A 23,090-nucleotide genomic window follows, 5' to 3' on the forward strand; every position below is an offset into this window, starting at 1 on the left:
AAAGTTTATTGAGAAGACTAAACAAGTAGCTCAGGTAAAATGGTCATAGACATAAGACATTCAGCCTCCAATCTGCAACCTTTAAACTGCAATATCACACTTCATTTATAATGTGTTATCATAAACCACACAAATACTTTGAGAAAAAGGGTTACAGCAAGACTGCTAATAGTGGGCATAAGAACATAACATGGAAATTTTAAATCATGTGGAAATTGCTTGGCACCCCATAGAGTGTTCAAATATGTCTGCTTCAAGAGAAAGAAATAATGGGCATCCAAATTGGTAAGTCAAACTGTTGTTGTTTGCTGATGACATGATCGCACACCTAGAAAACCCTAAATACTCATCCAAAAAGCTCCTAGAACTGGTAAATGAATTCAGCAAAGTTTCCAAAGTTAATGTACACAAATCAGTAGCTCTGCTATACACCAACTGTGACCAAGCTGAGAATCAAGTCAAGAACTCAATCTCTTATACAAAAGCTGCAAAAAACAAACAAAAAACAAAAACAAAAACCAAAAAAACTTAGGAATACACATAACCAAGGAGGTGAAAGACCTCTGCAAGGAAAACTGCAAAACACTACTGAAAGAAATCATAGATGAAACAAACAAATGGAAACACATCCCATGCTCACGGATGCATAGCATCAATATTGTGAAAATGACCATACTACCAAAAGTAATCTGCAAATTCAATGCAACTCCCATCAAAATACCACCATTATTCTTCACAGAACTAGAAAACACAATCCTAAAATTCATATGGAACCAAAAGAGAGCCTGCACAGCCATAGCAAGACTATGCAAAAAGAACAAATCTGAAGGCATTACATTACCCAGTTTCAAACTATACTATAAGGCCATAGTTACCAAAACAGCATAGTACTGGTATCAAAATAAGGATATGGACCAGTGAAACAGAATAGAGAATCCAGAAATAAAGCCAAATACTTACAGCCAACTGACCTTCAACAAAGCAAACAAAAACATTAAGTGGGGAAAGGATACCCTAATTCAACAAATGGTGCTGGGAAAATTGGCAAGCCACATGTAGAAGAACAAAAGTGGATCCTCGTTTCTCACCCTATACAAAAATCAACTCAAGATGGATCAAAGACTTAAATTTAAGACCTGAAATCATAAAAATTCTAGAAGATAACATTGGAAAACCCCTTCTAGATACTGGCTTAGGCAAAGACTTCATGACCAAGAACCCAAAAGCAAACGGAACAAAAGCAAAGATAAATAGATGGAACTTAATTAAATGAAAAAGTTTCTTCATAGCAAAAGAAATAATCAGCAAAGCAAACAGACAACCCACAGAATAGGAGAAATCTTCACAATCTATACATCCGACAAAGGACTAATATCCAGAATCTACAAGGAACTCAAACAAATCAGCAAGAACAAAACAAGCAATCCCATCAAAAAGTGGGCTAAGGACATGAATAAACAATTTTTAAAAGATGATATACAAATAGTCAACAAACATGAAAAAATGTTCAACATCACTAATTATCAGGGAAATGCAAATCAAAACCCCAATATGTTAACACCTCACTCCTACAAGAGTGGCCATAATTAAAAAATCAAAAAATAATAAATGGTGTGGATGTGGTGAAAGGGAATACTTTTACACTGTTGGTGGGAATGTAAACTAGTACAATCACTATGGAAAACCGTGTGGAGATTCCTTAAAGAACTAAAAGTAGATCTACCATTTGATCCAGTAATTCCACTCCTGGGTATCTACCCAGAAGAAAAGAAGTCATTATATGAAAAAGACACTTGCACACGCATGTTTATAGCAGCACAATTCACAAATGCAAAGATATGGAACCAGCCCAAATGCCCATCAATCAACAAGTGGATAAAGAAAATGCGGTATATACATCTATATATCTATATATATAGATCTATAGATCTATAGATCTAATATAGATCTATATATCTCTATATATCTATGTCTATATATCTCTATATATCTATATCTATATATATATATATAATTGATATATATATATATCTATATAGATATAGATATATAGAGATAAATAGATAGACATATATATATACACACCATGGAATACAACTCAGCCATAAAACAGAATGAAATAATGGCATTTGCAGCAGTTCAGGTGAACTTACCCAGATGGAATTGGAGACCATTATTTTAAGTGAAGTAACTCAGGAATGGAAAACCAAACGTCATATGTTCTCACTTACAGGAGGGAGTTAAGCTATGAGGACACAAAGGCATAAGAATGATACAATGGACTTTGGGGAGTGAGGGGAAAGGATGGACGGGGAGAGGAATAAAAGACTACCCACTGGGTACAGTGTACAATGCTCGGGTGATAGGTGCACCAAATTCTCAGAAATCACCACTAAAGAACTTATTCATGTAACCAAACACCACCTAAAAATCTATAGAAATAAATAAATAAATTGAAAAACAAACAAATGAAAAATAAAATAAAATAAAATGTGGTATGTACACACCATGTAATACTAAACAGCCATAAAAAAGAATGAAATTATGTCCTTTGCAAAAATATGGAGGCAGCTGGAGGCCATTATCCTCAACAAACTAACACAGGAACAGAAAACCAAATACCGTTATCTTCTCACTTATAAGTGGAGCTAAGTATTGAGCACACAAGGATATAAATATGACACAATGTCTATTGTGGACTACTAGAAGGTGAGGAGAGGGGTGAGTTAAACTACCTATTAAGCACTATGCTCACTGCCAGGGTGACAGGACCTGTACTCCAAACCTCAGCATCATGCAATATTCTCATGTAACAAATCTGCACATGTATCCCCATATCTAAAATAAAAGTTGAAAATTAAAAAACAATTGTGGAAAACTTAAAGACATAGAGGAAATCTTGGAAGAAGAAGAAAAATAACTTTTCCATTGGAGAATAATGATAAGAATTACAAGTAGACTTCTCACTAGAAACCATAAAAGCATTGAGAGAGGAGTAAAATATCCAAAATGTTGAAGAAAGAAAAAATAACAACCCCAAATTTTATATCCACTAGAATTATCCTTCAAATCAGAAGGAAAGATAAAGACTTTCTCAGAAAAACAACAAATGAGAGAACTCAACACAACAAACCTGGCCAAAAATAAATGTTAGAAGAAATTCTTCAAAAACAGAGGGAAAAGGATGTAAGTCAGAAACTCAAATCTACATAAAGAAAGAGCATCAGAGAAGGAATATATGATGGTAAAATGAAAAAACAAAACACACACACAAATATGTCTGCTCAAAGAATGAATAACAGGCCGGGCGTGGTGGCTCACACCTGTAATCCCAGAACTTTGGGAGGCCAAGAGGGGCGGGTCACCTGAGGTGAGGAACTCGAGACCAGCCTTGGCCAACATGATGAAACCCCATCTCTACTAAAAATACAATCATTAGCTGGGCGTGGTGGCAGGTACCTGTACCCCAGCTACTCAGGAGGCTGAGGCAGGGAGAACTGCTTGAACCCAGTGGGCAGAGGCTGCAGTGAGCTGAGATCACACCACTGCTCTCCAGCCTGGGTGACAGAGCAAGACTCCATCTCAAAAAAAAAAAAAAAAGAATGAATAACAGATTACATGAATAAATGAATAATGAATGAAATAATGCAGCAAATAGAGTCATTTCTTATTATTCACAGTAATTATATGCTATGAAGTTACCTCGAACACTGAATTTAGCAGCAAATACTGAACCACTGCTCCTGGGGGCAACACAGGGTTAGGTTCCTGTGTGCCTCTGGTCACAACATTTTCATCAACCATTAAATACATAACCTTGTGTTATATGTGTATCTCTTTAAAGACACCTTATTTCGTATATACCGTTGATTCATTAACACTGAACTCACAGCAACAACACTGGAACTCATGCCTGTATGAAGCTTATCTAACACATGCATACTCTCCAAAAGATGTATCACAGCCTTCTTGCTCTTAGGAACACTGTCTAGACAGCACTTTAGCACGAGGCTTGGGGACCATTTTAAATGGCAAAATCACTAAGAACAACAACAATAAAATCCCACAAAAATGTAAAAAAGTGTGGCCCTGAAAAGACCATGAAAAGAGGACTTGTTTACAGCGTGAGAGCTGAAACAAGGCGGAGAACTGCCTTGCTTGGCCACAGCCGGGAACAGGCAGGTCATATGACTCAAATTTTTTACTTCTCTGTGATTATTTGCAAGTGACCACAATGCCTCTGCTAGGGTGTGTGTGTTGGGGGGGGGGGCAGTTAATTATATTGAAGTTTGTCTTAATAAGTAAACCATAATTAACTCAATTGTATTTTTAATACTAGAAAAAATTTGCCTGTAAGCATTCAAGTCATGTTATTATTTCCTTGATATTCTGCTGTTATTATAATTCAATCCTAAGGAGTATGACGTGGAGCGAGTTTCCAGTTTATAACAGGACACCCATATTCTATGTGTGTCTCCACTTCCTTGTGGGGCTCCAAACCATAAGAGGTGGTGACCAGGTACCTCCTGATCCACTGTGAGGGGCTAGGAAGGGAGGGAGCACTCAATGAGACTGGGACCCTATCTAGTAAATAATTTAATCTTGTCTCAGAAGAGGTCTAGACCTTGCCTTCAAAGATAATTTTTGTTTGCCTGGGGCCAGCCAGAGAGTAACTTGGGGCTTTGGGTCACTGGTATCAGTTAAGGAACCACATGGACAGTCAATCAACCATGCTTATGCAATAAAGCCCCAATGAAAGCTCTGAACACCGAGGCCGGGAGAGCTTCTCTGGTTGGAAATATCCCACGTGGATCATCACACATAAATGCAAGAAGAAGCCAGCGACATAACTGTAATCCCAGCTACTCTGGAGGCTGAGGCAGGAGGACTGCTTGAGCCCAGGAGTTCAAGATCAGCCTGGGCACCAAGGAAGGAAGGAAAGGGAGGGAAGGGAGGAAGTAAGGAAGGAAGGACAGGAGGAGAGAAGGAAGGGAGGGAGGGAGGGTGGGCATGTGTCCTGACTCCAAGGAGAGAGGACAATGGAAACTCTGTGTTTTGCATTTCTCCTGGACGCTGTCCTGTGCCTGTCTTCCCCTGGCTGATTTTAATATGTATCCTTTCCCGGCAATAACCATGAATGTAAGTAATGTTTAGTGAGTTCTGTTGAGTCCTTCTAGTGAATTTTAGTCCATGAAGGTGGTTGGGGAACTCCCCCACTCAATTTGCAGTTGGTGTCAAAAGTGAGGGAAGTCTTGGAGATTTTGTAGTTGGCCCTAACGCCTCACAGACCCTGTGCAAAGCTGCACCTATGAGCCGTGAGGGCCTCCCGGAGATCATTCTGACTTTGGAGAAGGTGAGAAAGAAAGGCTAATTCTCAAAGTCCTTACTCTAAGAACTGTGTACTTAGTGCTAGGTGGCGCTTTCTTAGGGAACATCAACCTTTACTTGCTCTGTGACTTTAGAAAATTTACTACCTCTCTGCATCTTAATCTATTTATTTATAAAATGGAATAACAATATCATCTAAAATGGGAATAGTAACAACATAGGTTTGTTGTTGAGAATTAAATTAGGTATCATCTATAAAGCACCTTGTACTTAGGAGACCTTCAGTAAATAAGAACCCTCTCCTGCCTTCACCAAAAGTTATTCTGAAAACACAATATTACCATATTAGCCTCAAGCCGCTGTTAATGATTTCAGCCATGTATTCCCTTCTTACTATCTTGGTCTTCCATGTACACCTGCTCTGTTATAAAAGACATTATTCAAGATGCTACAGATCACAATCATGGCCAAATAAATTTAGTATTTGGCAAAAAAATAAGAAATATTAGGGGAAAAGTTTGAATTTCTTTTAATATTCTTTTAATATTTCTTTTAATATTAAAACAATTCTAATTAATGACATTTAAGAGCACTGTTTAGGTTTTAAATATATTTTCCTAGCAATCTATTTTTTGCTGGTAGAAGTCTAAACTGGCATAACCTCTCTGGAGAGCAATTAGCTATATATACCATAAGCTTAACTGTGTAACAGGTATCTATTAAGGCAGAGATTAGATGAGATGTTCTTTGAAGGAGAACACTTAAAAATTATTTTGGCCTTTCTTATGTTTATGGGTAGAGACCTTAGATCACTGGTGTGGATCCTTTTGCTGAGAGAAAAGCGGCTTGAATGTTCCTTTAGTTGACCAGTGGGTAGGTGCCACTGTCCTTAGGACTCAGGGGAGGAGGGGACACTGGGAGGGGAAAGTTGAATGGCTTAGGAAAAAGTGCCTCAATCTCTTGATATGCAGAATTAGTTGCTGAAGGCAGGAGGACCAATTTTCCAGGACGCTAAATCTTCCTGAAAAGGAAGAAACATTACCCCAATCTTTAATTCCTGAGATTCAAAATTAAAGAGTTCTGTCACAGAAGACACTCATAGCTCAAGCCAAGTCCCACTGGCAAGAAGAGGCAGAGACATTCCTGAAATAAAATGGCCTTGAAGAAGGAATAACTGAAACTGGTGATCTAAGGTCACACAAAAAGCTTCTGCGTTTATCAGGTAGGACAGATTCTGGCACAGCCTAAGGTGGATGCTGGAAGTGTCTCTGACCTCAGCCTCCCTGGTACACTAAATCCTTCAGTAAAAGAAAATGAACTTTTAAAAAACTGCAATCTTGACCTTCAACTGCGGTGACTGCTGTGACCTGGGCCATGGTCTGACCAGAAACAGGATCCTAGTGGCAGTTCAAGCAACTATTGCCAAACAGTGCAGGGCTGGTCTTAAATGCTGAGAAAAAATGATGATGGGAAGGAAGAGCAATAGTGTAGTTGGTTCTTTTTCTGGCATTTGGAGGCAGATGGGATGACTCTGGGACTGGGAAAGCCTCCTGGGGCTCAAACTTGGAGGCGGAGACTGTCTAAAAAGGAACATAATAAATTTCCTGCTGATTAATAGAAAAAAACATGAGAGTGTAACAGGTCATGCCAGTTCCTTCTGCATACCTTTAGACCCAGCAGTTCTATTTTTAGAAATTCATTGTAAACAATTAATTAAGGATGTTAGAAAAATATTAATACAGAAGAATATCACAATATTACTTTTAAAGACTAAAATACTGTACTCAACCTAAATGTCCAACAACTGAAAACCAGCTTAATCCATTATGATTAAGTATGATTAAGTATTCCAGTTTGAAGATACCTGGACTACATGAAAAGGACTTTACCTTTTAATCTCTTAGAAAGTGTGTTCTCTGTTATCTTAAATATTTTAAATCTTATAAACCAGTGGCTGTCAATCTTTTGGGTCTCAGAAATCTGGATTCTAAAGAGCTTTTAATATTTATTGATATTAGCCACACTGGAAATTAAAACACAGCTGGGGCCGGGCACGGTGGCTCATGCCTGTAATCCCAGCACTCTGGGAGGCCAAGGCGGGTGGATCACAAGGTCAGGGGTTCGAGACCAACCTGGTCTCTACTAAAAATACAAAAATCAGCCAGGCGTGGTGGTGCACACCTGTAGTCCCAGCTACTCGGGAGGCTGAGGTAGGAGAATCGTTTGAACCCAGGAGGCAGAGGTTGCAGTGAGCCGAGATCATGCCACTGTACTCTGACCTGGGCGACAGAGCGTGACTCCGTCTCAAAAAAAATGAAAATAAAAACACAGCTGGGCACAGTGGCTCATGCCTGTAATGTCAGCACTTTGGGAGGCTGAGGCAGGAGGATCACTTGAGTACAGGAGTTCAAGACCAGCCTGGGCAACAAGTGAGACCTTGTCTCTAGAAAAAAGACAAAAAGAAAAAAAAAATCAGGTGGCGCGTGACTGTAGTCCCAGCTACACAGGAAACTGGGGTGGAAGGATCACTTGAGCCCAGGAAGTGGAGGCTGCAGTAAGCTGTGTTTGTGCCACTGCACACTAGTCTGGGTGACACTGACGGAGGGAAGGAAGGAAGGGAGGAAGGGAAGGGAGGGAGGGAGGCAGGGAGGGAAGGAATGGAAGGAACAGAGGGAAGGGAGGGAAGGGAGGGAGGGAAGAAGGGAGGGAGGGAGGGAGGGAGGAAGGCAGGCAGGCAGGCAGAAACTTGAATCATATTTTTTTGTTAATTCATTTAAAAATAATTAGCCAGCTGGGTGTGGTGGCTCACACCTGTAATCCCAGCACTTTGGGAGGCCGATCACCTGAGGGTGGATCACCTGAGGTCGGGAGTTCAAAACCAGCCTGACCAACATGGAGAAACCCCGTCTCTACTAAAAATACAAAATTAGCCGGGCATGGTTGCAGGTGCCTGTAATCCCAGCTACTCGGGAGGCTGAGGCAGGAGAATCGCTTGAACCCGGGAGGCGGAGGTTGCAGTGAGGTGAGATTGCGCCATTGCACTCCAGCCTGGGCAAAAAGAGTGAAACTCCGTCTCAAAAATAAATAAATAAATAAAAATAAAAATAAAATTAAAAAAATAAAAATAATAAGCCTATTATATCTTAACATTTTTATGAAAAATAACCATATTTTTCAGAACAAAAAAATTGTTTTACATTCTGCAAATCTCTTTAATGTCTAGCCTAATACAAGACAGCTGGATTCTCATATCTACATCTGTTGTTATACCACATGCCATGTAGCTTCTAGAAGATTCAATTAGATACTAGCAAGAGAATGAGAGTGATGAAAATAATGTCTCAGTATTATTACAAAAATAGTCTTAACTTTGTAAAATCTCCCTCAGGAGTCCCTGGACCATGCTTTGAGAATGAGTATTTTAAACCGTAATTTCCTTGGCATATCTAGGATATGGGATAGAGTGGGGTTAATAAACATTTCATCGAGGGCCAGGCGCGGTGGCTCACGCCTGTAATCACAGCACTTTGTTAGGCCGAGGCAGACAGATCACGAGGTCAGGAGTTCAAGACCAGCCTGACCAACATGGTGAAACCCCGTCTCTACTAAAAATACGAAAATTAGCCGGGCGGGGTGGCGCGCGCCTATAATCCCAGCTACTCAGGAGGCTGAGGCAGGAGAATCGCTTGAACCTGGGAGGCGGAGGTTGCAGTGAGCCGAGATCACGCCACTGCATTCCAGCCTGGGCAACAGACCAAGACTCTGTCTCAAAAACAAACAAACAAACAAAGAAGAAATATTTCATCTAATAGAAGAAATACAAAAATTAGGAAGAGAAAAGAGAGAAAATTGTGTGTTCTTTTGGCAGAGAACAGCAGCTTGTTCAAAGTTATCCAGGGCTAATACTCCGAAAATGTTTGTGATTGCCTTCAGCTGAAGGTCTCAAGCGCTCACAACACCTCTTTTTGATTCTGTCAGAAAATCCGCCCAGACCCAGCTTATGAACCTGTCAAACTCCATCAGCAGAATATGACTGAGAATGAGAAGCAGATAACCTATGACTTAAGAATAGCTGCTTAAAATATCTTTATCATGGTATGGCTGGGCACGGTGGCTCACGCCTGCAATCCCAGCACTTTGGAAGGCCCGGGGGGGGGGGGGGGGGGGGCAGATCACCTGAGGTCAGGAGTTCGACACCAGCCTAGCCAACAGGGTGAAACCCGGCCTCTACTAAAAATACAAAAATTAGCCGGGCATGATGGCATGCATCTGTAATCCCTGCTACTCAGGAGGCTGAGGCAGGAGAATTGCTTGAACCAGGGAGGCAGAGGTTGCAGCGAGCCAAGATCGTGCCACTGCACTCCAGCCTGGGCAACAGAGCGAGACCCTGTCTCAAAAAATAATTATTATTATTATATACATATATCCTTATCATGATATGTACGACTATTTAAATTAAGTATATACCCATAAAATCTATTAAAAGGTTTTCTCCATTGCCATGAAGTGTCAGTAATACTTTTCATACCTAATATAAAAGATAATTTTATAAAAATATCAGTTATGCTGGCACACAGAAATGTTAAAATAATCAGAAAGTTTCATTCATTCAGTAATTACACATGAAACACCTTCTATGGGTGAGGGTGTCAGTTACGAGGCGGGTCCAGATATAGTTTGTGCCTTCAATGGCAGTAACAAAAATATGATGGATATTATTCACAAACAAGGCAATAAAGTAAGAGTAATAGAAGTTTTACAAACATTGTCTTGTCTAAATGCCTGGCAAGAATAGGTCTATAGTAAGTATTTGCTGAACTGATGAACGAATGGAAGGAAAGAAGGAATCACTTTTGGCCAGAGAGTCAAGAAACACATACCAGAAGAGGTATTATCCGACAAGACTCTTAAAGGATAGATGGTTTTTAAAATAAAGGGGCTGCGAATAACAGGCAGAAGGACACTAAACAGAGGAGAGAACACAGTGAAAAAGAGGGCAGAAACAAGAAAGTTCAGTACATGTTTGAGGAACTGCAAACAATGCAGAGTGGCTGAAATAAAGATATACTGAGGAAAGTTTGTGACTCAGGCCCTGGAGGGAACCTGGGCTGAGTTGTCAGGAGCCATCCACAAATAACGCACTATGAGTTCTTCTCTGGTTTGTATGTTCTTTCAATTAAATACTCAGCTATTTGAGGACAGAAGAATGCTGTAGTCAGGTCCAGCTCACTTCTCAAGAGTCGGAGAAAGCAAACCAGGCAACAGGAAAGCCAAAGACAGAAGACAACAAGCACAACTCATGGAGCCGACTCACAAGAGCACAAAGTAAGGAACTGAAAATTGCAGGTGGCAGCAAGGCCTGGGAAAGGGGAGAGAAGCTTCATGTCTAAGCTAGGTTCTGTGTGAGACATTCTCCTCGAGACTTGATGTAAAAACATAAACAAATCCATGAAAATGAAAGAAAAAGATGAGATCAAAATAAGCCTAAGTTAATTCGTATGTACAGTACAACCTTGTCAGAGAATTTTTTCATTTTTTTATAAATGAAAGAAAAGATATTCCTGTGTATATGTATGTGCATGTGTACACAGCAGGGAGAGAGAGGATGAAAGAACTAGAAAGACACACACTAGAAGGGTTAACAGTAGTGATCTCCAGATCAGCCTTTCTCCTCCTCTAAAGCAAGCCTGGATAATGTTTCAAGTGACTGTTTTCTTAGTTCTCCCAAGTATGGGAGATAACAAACTCTTTCTGGAAGCACAGGAGAGAAGTTACCTTATTACATGTAATGGATGTCCTATGGTCTTGGAGTATTATTCTCTCCTAGAACCAGGAGGAGAAAGGCCTCTCTATTATACAACGAATACATTACATTTGTGCTAACAGAGAACTATTAAAAACAAAAAAGTGTAAGTAAACTATCTGTAAGATGAAGAAAACATGGAAACTGAATCAGACAGAGAAAAGTCCTCTTTAACAAACTCCACAGGAGGCTCTAATTGTTTTAGGTGGGCTCTTGAACTGCATGTACTACCAGAGAAATCCCAGTCCAAGAGGCTTAAAAATCAGCTATAGCTTTGTGGCAAACTTACGCATAATAAAGCACCACATTCTTCTAAAGTCTTTGAATTCCCCCTCAGAATCCCTGTGGAGGTCTTCATTTACCTCTTCTGCCGGTTCTAATTGAATTTGCTGAATGTCAAGCATTTGTTATAGGAAATGAAAAACAGTTTCTTAATTAAATTTTCTTTCATTCTTGGTTAACTGCTAGAATTGCAAGTCAAGAAAACCTTATCTAAACATATTTTTATATATTCTATCATGTTTATGAAAAGCGATTCCAATTTTTCTTGCTTTTTTAAACTCAAAGGTATAGATTTTAAACAAGATTTAGTGTTAAACTCATTGTTGCCATAATCTTTTGTGCTGCTTTTTCTCTAAATATTAGTATTGTCAGGACATTCACTTTTCTTTAAATAACAAAAATTTCAAGATATCTGAGCCTTTAGGCAATGATTTTTAAAATCCCTAGTTAAATCCATCTTTGATATAATTTATAACATTATAGTTACTTAGGAGATACTCAAAAGTATTCATTTACTGACTGATAGGATTAAATTTACTTACAAATACCTTAATGTCCTGATTTTTTGGATTAATTTATAACATTTTATGACTAAATACATCTTCATGTTCTCTCCAATTAGATCCTATTTACATCCGCTATATCTATAGAAGTTGTTAAAAATGACCTCTGAAAACAAAAATTATTTCTTTCTTTTTATTATATATTCTTTTTGTATCATTATATAATCTATATCTTATGCATTCTTTGGTTTAGAATAATATTCCTCTGGTGAAGTTTAAACCTGCTTAACGTTTTACAAGTTAAACAGTTCATTCTAGAACAGACTAGAATGTTAAATTTAAGCTGTTTATTTTTTTAGGGCCAAACCAAAGGCTGTTACAACTTTTAAACAATATAATGAATTCTCAAAAAGGACTATATTGCATTTTAAATGTTTAGACAAATGACCTATGAACACTCAAAAATTGTGATTTAGGTTTTAAAGCATATTAGTTTCAGATTGCCTTTGGTTTGAAAATTAACAATTTTGAATTGTATAAACAGAATGACATTTATTAGCAAGAAAAAAGACCATTTCTTCCCTTCAAATGAAGAGTCGCCTTTCAACCAACTGGTGAGATTTCCTGTACTGCTTTAATCCAAAAATGTACGGCAATAATAATTAATCCCCACCTGTTGCTGTTCTGTTTCGGTTCAATATTTAGACACACCAAAATAATGACATGCTTAAACTCTTATTTGACTATAAAGTGATTTTTGAAACAAGGGCATAAACAGTAAACACCAAACAAACAACTACTATAGTTAATATGTGAAAGAGTCACAAAGAAAACATCCAAGCTCTTTAATGAAGTTTCTTGGAAAACAAAAATTCACAGTGAAAATGGCTCCTAATAACATACACGATTCTAAACTAATGAGAAACAAAAATGAGCCTTGCTAGGTTTCTAGGTATCTCACATCCTGACTAAACTTCTTTCCTAGAAGATGCTTCAAAATGTGGAAAGAAGGCATTACAACTAAGATAATTAAAATTCACTCTGCAAAGTCATGGCCAAATCAGGTCAGTTAAATTCACCCTTAGAAGCAACGAAGTCATTTAAAATTGTTCCAAGTTGAAAACTGATGTGTCATGATTCAACTCTGATGGAAATAAACTATTTTTAAAACAAAAGACAATTATTTTTAATTCTTCAGAGAATAGTGACCCAGAACCGTTAATACTCAGGAAGAAAAAAAAAAACAAACACTTCTGAAACTGTGCAACTACAGTGCTCACATTAACTTCATCAAAGATCACAGAAAAAAATATTTTGTAAATGCAGTGCTCAATTCCTGACCACGGACCCACAGCCTGGGCAAACAAAGCCTCTTAAATGAAACGTGAAGCAAATTTGGAAACCTCTCCTATTTAAAACTAAAGCTTGGTCTTTAATAAAAGACCTAAGCAGTTTCCTGTAACCAGCTTGGCAGACCTAGCAAACAGATTACACAAAGTCCTTCTGCTTACTCAAATCTTTCACTATACTCCTGAAAACAAAAAGCTATACACAGGAAATGGGTCATTTAACTCAATCCAAAGGTAAAAGAGTGTCATTCTCCAACCTACTAATTCTTCTAGACAAGTCAAATCTGAGGTGAGAAGAAGAGAACTTCTGATAATGTTTCTCCTGACATGTCGGCATATTTACAGAAAGTCCTCAGACAGGCCTGTTTACCTACAGGATTTCCAAAAGGGAACTTCAAGATGATGTTTAATTCCTGTCAGTCCTCTCAATGATATCTCAGCATTCCCAACTGGTTCCCATTTGGATTTTGTTGGGTACATTTCAAAAACTCATCATTAATAATATAATACATTCCCTGAAACCATCTGCCCCAGAAAATAGAATGCGCAAAACTCGATAACGACAATAAAGTAGATCCTTCTACTTCTCTGCATCTCACGTCTAAAATGCGGCTGGGTGCGGGGACTCACACCTGTAATCCCAGCACTTTGGGAGGCTGAGGCAGCGGATCACTTGAGCTCAGGAGTTCAAGACCAGCCTGGGCAATGTGGAGAAACCCCGTCTCTACAAAAAATACAAAAATTAATCAGGTGTAGTGGCATGCATCTGTAGTCCCAGCTACTGGGGTAGGAGGCAGGAGTGGCATGCAGGGAGGATTGCTCGAGCCAGGAAGGTCGAGACTGCAGGGAGCCCAGACGACATCATTGCACTCTAGCCTGGGCAACAGAGTGAGATCCTGTCTCAAAAATTAAATTAAATTAAATTAAAATGCAATATGTTTATGAAGTCTTTATAATTCATCCTTAAAAGAATATACTACGTTATATATGTTTTACTACAACAAAATAATATGCTTGATGAACATTTTTTCCAATGTTCGTGTTCCAATGTTCATGTTCCAATGTTTCCATTTTTTCCAATTCAACAACTTAGACTTTTAACCATTCATAGCACTTGAAATTCCAGATATTAAAAAAATGTAACCATACGAACACTCTTTGGAGAATTTTTACTTTTTATAAGTACAAGTTCTGGAAAATAATCAACTATACTTTTAGTGGAGATTTTCCTTGTCAGTTATCTTTCCAACTGTAATTCAGTGGTCTCAGATAACCCTCACCTCCTTCAGCAGACCCACTATATAACCTCCTTAACCTTTTCTTAAAAGAAAAATTGCAAATGATGTTTTTCTTCTTGCTATTATTCATTCTTTGGCAGAAATTATTCCTAACCCATGCTTTCCCCATACTCCAACATAGTTTTGTAGCACTGACCTACTTGGATTCTTGCCCTTGGAACAGGAATCGATCATATTCCCTGGCCTGGGAGTATTTAAAGTAGTGTGTTTATTAGAATGTGCATTATTCTGCAATGCGGATTCACAGGATTTTCCAATGAGAGTCAATATATCATTTTGCCAGCAGGCATTAAAATAGCAACCCTTCAAAGTCTTCCTTACATCCATGTTTTCAAGCTTTATCAAAAGGACAGTTGCTCAGAAAGTAAGATAAACTAACGCTTACATGAAACTATTGGGAAAAGAGAGATAAGGCTCCTATTACTAATACTCACATCACAGGTAACTGAGATGGGAAAAGACCACAACATTTTTCATCTTATTTTGATCATTTCCAAATGCATTTCTTTTAAACTGGATATCTCTGGGAAAACCACTCAGTCACTAAGGAAAAAAAAAGTGGATTCTAAGGAACACAGAGAGGTTTGCCTTAGATTATAAACTGTAGAGCCAAATGTGGAATAAGGCAGCTCACAGCTGTAAGGAAGAAAGCAAAGTCAGACATGGAAGTAATACTGTGGCAACCACAAATGAGCGGAGTTGGATAATTCTAAAGCACGTTAACTATCCTAAAGTATAGTAAAATGCTTGGCATCTTTTAATTAACTATGCTTTTATGGCATACACAACAGAATAAGTTGCCAAGGGGCAAAAACTCTTTATAAATGAGAAACTGTGTTTCAAATTGATAGGTACTTGTTTTTCTTCCTGAGAGCAGAACCAGAATATGAAAGATCTGGGGCTGTAACGTTTCTTGCTGACACTTGCATGCAACAAGGCCTAAAATGAACATGTAATGGACTGGTTGTCTTGAAGAAGTTCCAGCAGTGTAGGGATATGAAAAACTAACAAGTATAATACCAACAAAGGTCCGTATTTTCTCAATTATAAAATCCAAATGCCTTCAAAAGTGGAAGTATTTTTATAACGCATTTGGCAGCAAAGCCTGGTCTGACCTGAACGTCAAAGTAATTTAATAACTCTTTATAACTCATTTGGTACCAAAAACCTCACCTGATCAATGTAAGAATATTTAGTCTTTATCCCATTGAATGTGACCATTTATTTCATTGCAGAAATACTAATGTGTGATTATAGAGTAATGCCTCAGACACTGTTTTGAATGTTATAAAATATACTATATATATGTGAAATGTACTACCTTTCTAAAGTCTGAAAAATCCTGCATTCCAGCACAAATCTGTCCCAAGGGTTTTGGATAAGGGATTACAGACCTGCTACTGTTATTAATATTTACAGCTGATCGTGTTAAAACATAAATCAGAATATGCCACTCTTCTGCTGCGTTCTCTCCAATGACTTCCTGTGTCTCTCAGAATAAAAGCCAAACTCTTTACAACTGCCTACAAAGACTGCTATTTAAAGAAGACCACAACAGTGGCATCATCTGGTAACTTGGAAATGCAGAAGTGCAGAACCCAACTCCCAACTACAAATCAGAATCTGCATTTTCACAAGACCAAGTCATGTGCACGCACACCAATTTTTCAGAAACACTGACCTACAAGACCTTGGGTGACCTGTCCCCACTAAGCCCCCGAGTTCATCTACTTCACTTCCTCTCACTCACTCTTCTCCAGCCTCTTTGTTCCTCTGCCATTCATCAGACATATAAGACACACTTCCACCTAGCTGTTTCTTCGGTCTAGAATCTTCCTGCCCAGGTGTCTCTATAGTTTGCTCCGTCACCTACTTCAGTTCTTGACTTAGTGAAGCCTTCCTTGTCATTTAAAAAGTTCAAAACCCCCTGACACTTCATACTCTTTTTTTTTTCTACTTAGTACTTCTTGCTATCTAAAATACTACATATTTTATCAATTTTATATTGTTGTTTGTCTCTCTACACCAGAAGGTAAGCTCGATGAGGGCAGGATTTTTTTGTCATCTGTTGTCACACTGCTGTGTTCTTACTGCCTAGAACAGTAATTGTCAGTGTGGTCTGTAAACACTTGTGGGTCACTAAGACCCTTTCAGGAGAGGTCCACAAAACCCAAACTATTTTAATAGTAATCTTAAGAAGGATTTTGCCTTTTTCACTACACTGACATTTGTACTGGTGGTACAAAAGCTATGCTGGGTAAAACAAAGCAGTGGCAATTAGGCTGTCACTGTACTTCACCAGTACACACTCACAGTAAAAAGAAAAATCGTTTAACCTAAGAAAGCCCTTGATGAAGCAGTTTTAAAGTATTGGTTTTGTTAAATTTTGATCCTTGAGTACACTTCTTTTGGTCATTCTGTTAAAAAAAAGTGAGAAGTGTGCATAAAGCACCATCTGTTGTTGTATACCAAGTATGATGGTTGTCTTGAAGAAAAGCACATCTGAGGTCATTGGGGTTGTGAGCTGAACTAGCTCCATTTTCATAATAGTCATTTCACTTGAAAGAAGGACTCACAAACTATGACTAATCAGACTTGGGTATTTAACAGGTATTTACTCCAGAATAAGCAAAGTAAGCTTGCGACTCCAACAAAAATAACTAACTGTATTTACTGCCAGTCACAAAAATTCAAGCTTTCAAGTGGAAATAAGAATTCAAGGAAACTTGTATCCACCACCATGAGCTTGACAGTTTGTTAATATTTAAAGATTTTTCCCATGAGATCGATGGTGATATTAAAGAACATGATTCTAAGATATATTGCATAATGAAATGTGTTAACATTCACAAGATTTACATAAATCAATGAATATTTTTGAAATGACAAACGTAGGATAATACAGTATCATGTGTGGGCAAAAGATCCAGTCAAATACAAGATAGAACAGGAGATCATAATGTACGAGAGTAAAAATGTCATTGATATGGTTTCAAAGTCTACATTGCAATTGACCTTTAAAAAACTACCACTTGTCAAGTGTTAGTGTAGTATCAAAGAAAGATATCTATAACTATTTGAAAAGATTATTAAAACACTGCCCTTTTTTCCAACTATATATCTGTATAAGGCCAGATTTTCTTCATATATCCCAAACAAAACAATATATTTCAAAAGCTGACTGCAAATAGAGAATCTAGCTCTCTCCTAAGCCAGACATTAAAGAGTTTATAAAAATGTAAAAGAATGACTCTTCTTACTACATTTAAAAATATAGTCATTTTTCGACTGGGCGTGGTGGCTCAAGCCTGTAATCCCAGCACTTTGGGAGGCTGAGGTGGGTGGATCACAAGGTCAGGAGATTGAGACCATCCTGGCTAACACGGTGAAACCCCGTCTCTACTAAAAATACAAAAAATAAGCCGAGCATGGTGGTGGGTGCCTGTAGTCCCAGCTACTCGGGAGGCTGAGGCAGGAGAATGGCATGAACCCGGGAGGCGGAGCTTGCAGTGAGCCGAGATCGTGCCACTGCACTCCAGCCTGGGTGACAGAGCGTGACTCCGTCTCTTAAAAAAAAAGTCATTTTTCATAAAATGTGTTATTTATGTTAACATGTAAGGAGTTTATTTTTTAATTGATAATTTTTAAAAACTTCTCAATTTTAATTTCAAATTCAGTAAATAGCAACACATATAACCCACATAACAAATGCACCTTAGGATTCTCAATGTTGTAGAATATAAATGGATCCTGAGATTTAAAAGTTTGAAAACCACTGGCCTAAAACAATAACTAGAACACAATAGTAAATTATGTTGCACTGAACACTTACAATGTGCCAGTCTTTTGTTAAATGTTTTTATACTTATTTATGTCTCAAAACAATGTTATAAGGTATTATTACTAGTACCATTTTATGCATGAGAAAACAAGTAATTGAGAGGGATCAAGGCACCTATTTAAAGTCACAAGGAGCAGAGCCAGTCCTTGAACCAAGATCATGTGCCTCCAGATCTCATACTCCTGACCAAAATTGATAGTATAATAAAGGAATGCTAAGTTAGAAACAAGGCAAACAGTGTCATCCTAGGTGACTACATCTAAAATTATCAAGGCAATAAGAAGAAGCCAAAATACAAAGCCAAATGAATTGGGGATTGAAGGGAGATAACCTAAGCAAGCTCATATGAGCAGGAGAAAGACCAGGTCACCTTCTCAGAGGCAGATGCAGATGCCTGAGGAAATACTTCAAGTGCAGTCCACAAGGGCCCGACAACTATCACTAGGCTAAACAATGAACAATAATAACCCTGAGGTATCTGGCTTCAAGCCCAGCTTCCAGGACAACAAGCTGGTATCCCTTATGGTCAGGTTCATTCACGATGCTATTAAAGTCTTCTCCTTGCTGCTACTGGTTTCCTTGTAGCTCAAGCTTGAGTATAACCTTCAATGAAATGTTTAGGATGTTCTCTGGTTCCCGTGTCCAAAAAGAGTTGTCATCTCACTCAAACCATCAAGTCCAAGAAATATCTTCTCTCTGACCCACGGCAGGGTGATATCCTGATGCTTCATCACTCCAATAAGCTTAGTGACAAGACAGGCACTTACTGTCTGCATCTCAAGAAGGAGTCCTGTAAGGTCAAGAACAGTAATCCCTAACCCAATTTCAAATTCCCCTAAGCTAAACATTCCTGCTAGAATATGCAGACAGACTTTCTAAAATCTTGGAATTTACACTTCCTGTAATATTTAGTCTATGAATCACTTTGTTGGGGATGATTAATAAATGAGTGATCTAGGATTGGGAAGAAAAAAAGAAGGTGAAGTGGGTGGCAGAGCAGTAGTCGTAGTTTGAGCTATGCAGCATTCAGACAATGGAAGTTGGAGCAAAGAAAGTAAAGTGAGATCTTGGAACTGTCCTCCTCACTCACTCTATTAGGAGGGAGGGAGGGTGGCCATAAAGTCAGGTTGATTCAGTGCCAAGGCTAAGCGTTATCACGTAAGGAATTATACTACATAACCTTATCAGAGAGAATGTTTAACAAATTCTGACTCAGCTATGCATAAGGAAGATCAGAAATAGAAAATATAACCCCTTAGTATGCATAATATCTGCATCCACAGAAAAAGTGAACTAATAAACATATTCTCCAAATTTTAAATGAGGGAGATCCTGAAAAGTTCCTAATATAATCACTGATATTCTCTTTTTCTAGTGTTCTATCCTCATTTTATATCAAATATAAAAAGAAAATTAAAGCTTTCATAGCTTTACTAGTGACCCAGGATCACCCTAACACTATTTTTGCCTTGAACTCTTCAGTTGTTCAACCACAAATTCTTCCACACTGGGTCATCACAGTAAAAGTCTAAGAGTTAGAAAGAGAATGCTGGATAACAATGATTATGCTCTCTGGTATCTTCCACAGTTGAATGGGCTACTGTGCAATCTGCATGCCTCCTTCCTACTATAACCCATGCTTCAACATATGATATGCAGAACTATCATGACAACATTTTGCCAGATCATGAAACAGAAAACATACATAATAAGCACAGTTATTCAGTGTTTTAGATGCCACAGAGCACTGTAAATCTTCCTGATGATATCAGTAGACCAACTCAGGCTGCTGGAAGCCCATTCACAAAACACGGTTTTTTCAGGAAGGGCAGAAACCTAGGCAGGAGGTGACAAAATATACTTCAAGGCCAGGGAAGCTAATGACTGAAAGTAAGTTCTGGGATATTTTCTATGCACAAGCAAAACAAGAGAAGACAAAGTGATGAAGAAGCAGCAGCAAAAGCAAGCAAAAGATGAAGGATGCCTGGGCACTTCACTTCTGGGTGCTCAGGAGGAAGAGAAGTTACACATTTTCAGCCAGGTTGATGTGAGTTTCAGGACTGACGATGTGGACCCACCCCACTTTGTGCTGCCAGCTTTGGCAGTGCAGGACAGCGGTGAGAAGTGTGGGCCCTGGAAGTCTGGAAACCTGTCTCTACCAGCACTTACTAATTGTGAGTCTGACCCAGGGCACGTCAATTGGACAAATGAATATTAGCTATTGTTATTGTTATTATTATTACCATCAAAAAACCTTTTACCTTTATTCCTGAAGTATCTGACATTAAGGAAATTTCCAGGGAAAGAAATATAGATGTAACTAGAAAGCTATATGAAGAAATATGTGAATTAAAGTACTACAAGGTATCTCTTATATGAACATATGTAAACAGAATACCTAGAGGTCTCAAGATATCATACTTTAAAGAATTTTCCAAAATGCCCTTATTTAGAAAATATTACTTCTTTTTTTCCCATTTCCACTTCAGGACTCAAAATACCGTGACAATGCCAAACATACTTCACATATGAAATGTTACAGTCCAATAGGTTTACTAAAATGGAAAGGTGGATAATCGGTTTGTTTTAAAATATTCAAATAGAGTCTTCTTTTAACTCCAGACTTGATGTGGATTTCTAATAAGCAATATTATTTGTTATTCAAAAAGCAGACTGAGTGATTTATGTCACGCAGCTGTGAACAAGCATTTTGTTGAAAATATCGTCTGCATGCTTTACTGCACTAACACTGTTGGAATGCCCGCAAGGATGCTGAATACTAGGAATTGAAAAGCAAAAGGTCATTGTCACTGGAAAATGAAAAAGTTATCTGATTCAAACCCACATCAAGCACAGACAAATGACAGCAATGAAAAAACATTTTCATGTGCTTTTACCAGTCTGCAAGAGAGAATTATTTATCTCTAATAAGACTTTTCAAATTCCCATAATATAACAAAAAAATGAATTTTTACTGTTCACAAGTGACAATTAGATCAAATTGTTTTCTCATAAATTTTTAAATATTGGCCTACTCTTCAAAGTCAAGGCAAATATGCTAGTAGTAAATGTTTTCCCAGCACCAATAAAATGTTCAAAAATAAGGGTAATAATAAAGGTAAATAAAATAAAGGTAAGAGTCATATACTTTTGTTCATATCATTAATAAACACACAACCATGAGATTGGTTTCCTTCATGCACATATAACATATATGAAATAATTTCAGAAAACTTGAGTTCTCAGTATATATGCCTGTAACTTTAAGTTCTGATTTTCTGCAAACAGGCCATAAGAAATAATTAATACACACACACACACACACACACACACACACACACACACAGAACAAATCGACACAAGCTACACTGACCACTGGAGTTAACTGTTGTAGCAATCTTGCCTAACAGACAAGGAAAATAATGTATGTATTTTACTGCTAAATGTAACATTTTCTGAAAGCATAAGAATTTCTAAGAAAACCCCTGGTGGCAAACAACTGCATATTATTAACTTCACTATTTTATTCCTCTACTGCTCAGTAGCAAAAAGCTGACACAATCATAATTAAGCTAAACTAACAATTTAAAAATATGTATTTATAGTATAAATGCAAGTACTTCCTCTAAAAGGGACATCTACTGGGGGGAAATGGTTCTTTGCATGTGTGTTTGAGAGCCAAATTTTCATTTCTTAGATTTTTTTAATTTTTAAAATATCCAAGCCTACTAAAACATTGAAAGAATAGTACAAGAAATCAGTATTCTTTCATCTAAATTCACTAATTGTTAGTACTTTGTCCTATTTGTTCTCCCTTCTCTATATTATGCCCTCCCCAAGCACTTCAAAGTAAGTTGCAGGCATGCAACACTTCACCTTTAAATCATTCAGCACTTACCTACTAAAAAAACAAGAACCTTCTTCAATACAACCACGAAAACATTATCACACCCAAGAAATTAACCCTCTGTACCTGGAAGAGCAGTCATTACCATTTACCACCCAGGTCCATAAGCTCTTTTAATTTATATAAATTTTAGCCAGGCAAAAAAAACAAAACAAACAAAAAAAAAAAAAACAGAAGCAATGATAAGCTAGAATCTATTTGATATAAACTAGATGTATTTGAAGCCTGGAATCAGTATTTACATAAATGGATATATCCCAGGTTCATACATGACAGAATTAATGAGCAGTTAGTTGATGAGACTTCAAAGAATGCTGCCCTTTTGGGATATATATCTTTAAAACAAACAAAAGTGGCTCACACCTGTAATCCCAGCACTTTGGGAGGCCGAGGTGGGCGGATCACGAGGTCAAGAGATCGAGATCATCCTGGCTAACATGGTGAAACCCCGTCTCTGCTAAAATACAAAAAAAAAAAATTAGCCGGGCATGGTGGCGGGTGTCTGTAGTCCCAGCTACTTGGGAGGCTGAGGCAGGTGAATGGTGTGAACCCGGGAGGCGGAGCTTGCAGTGAGCAGAGATCGCGCCACTGCTCTGTAGCCTGGGCCAACAGGGCAAGACTCCGTCTCAAAAAAAAAAAAAAAAAAAAAAAAAAAAGGACTAAGATTTTGGCTTTCCTGTTTAAATTTTTATTAAAATTTCTGCCATGTTATGTTTCACTATCCTTTTATTACATCTGTAAATTATTCATAAAATGACTTCAAATTTATATAAATTTCA

At 37.9% G+C, this 23,090-nt stretch overlaps 1 protein-coding gene across 5 annotated transcripts in view, besides 3 other annotated features; it reads right to left on the reverse strand.

The window, feature by feature from the left end:
* Window positions 1–23,090, reverse strand: part of CHN1 (chimerin 1) — a 206,573-nt gene that overhangs the window by 154,379 nt on the left and 29,104 nt on the right. The window lies entirely within an intron of this gene.
* Window positions 10,867–11,702: an enhancer, noted in NCBI's record as "OCT4-NANOG-H3K27ac hESC enhancer chr2:175828782-175829617 (GRCh37/hg19 assembly coordinates)". NCBI's record gives its function as "activates a minimal SCP1, AML or CMV promoter by ChIP-STARR-seq in primed H9 embryonic stem cells {active_cell/tissue: H9 hESC(primed)}" and the evidence as "EXISTENCE:reporter gene assay evidence [ECO:0000049][PMID:30033119]".
* Window positions 13,480–13,680: a silencer, noted in NCBI's record as "peak3936 fragment used in MPRA reporter construct". NCBI's record gives its function as "represses an SCP1 promoter by STARR-seq MPRAs in K562 erythroleukemia cells {active_cell/tissue: K562}" and the evidence as "EXISTENCE:reporter gene assay evidence [ECO:0000049][PMID:32103011]".
* Window positions 13,641–14,477: an enhancer, noted in NCBI's record as "NANOG-H3K27ac hESC enhancer chr2:175831556-175832392 (GRCh37/hg19 assembly coordinates)". NCBI's record gives its function as "activates a minimal SCP1, AML or CMV promoter by ChIP-STARR-seq in naive H9 embryonic stem cells {active_cell/tissue: H9 hESC(naive)}" and the evidence as "EXISTENCE:reporter gene assay evidence [ECO:0000049][PMID:30033119]".

The sequence above is a fragment of the Homo sapiens genome, chromosome 2, assembly GCF_000001405.40.
Source record: "Homo sapiens chromosome 2, GRCh38.p14 Primary Assembly".
NCBI classification, from domain to species: Eukaryota; Metazoa; Chordata; class Mammalia; order Primates; family Hominidae; genus Homo; species Homo sapiens.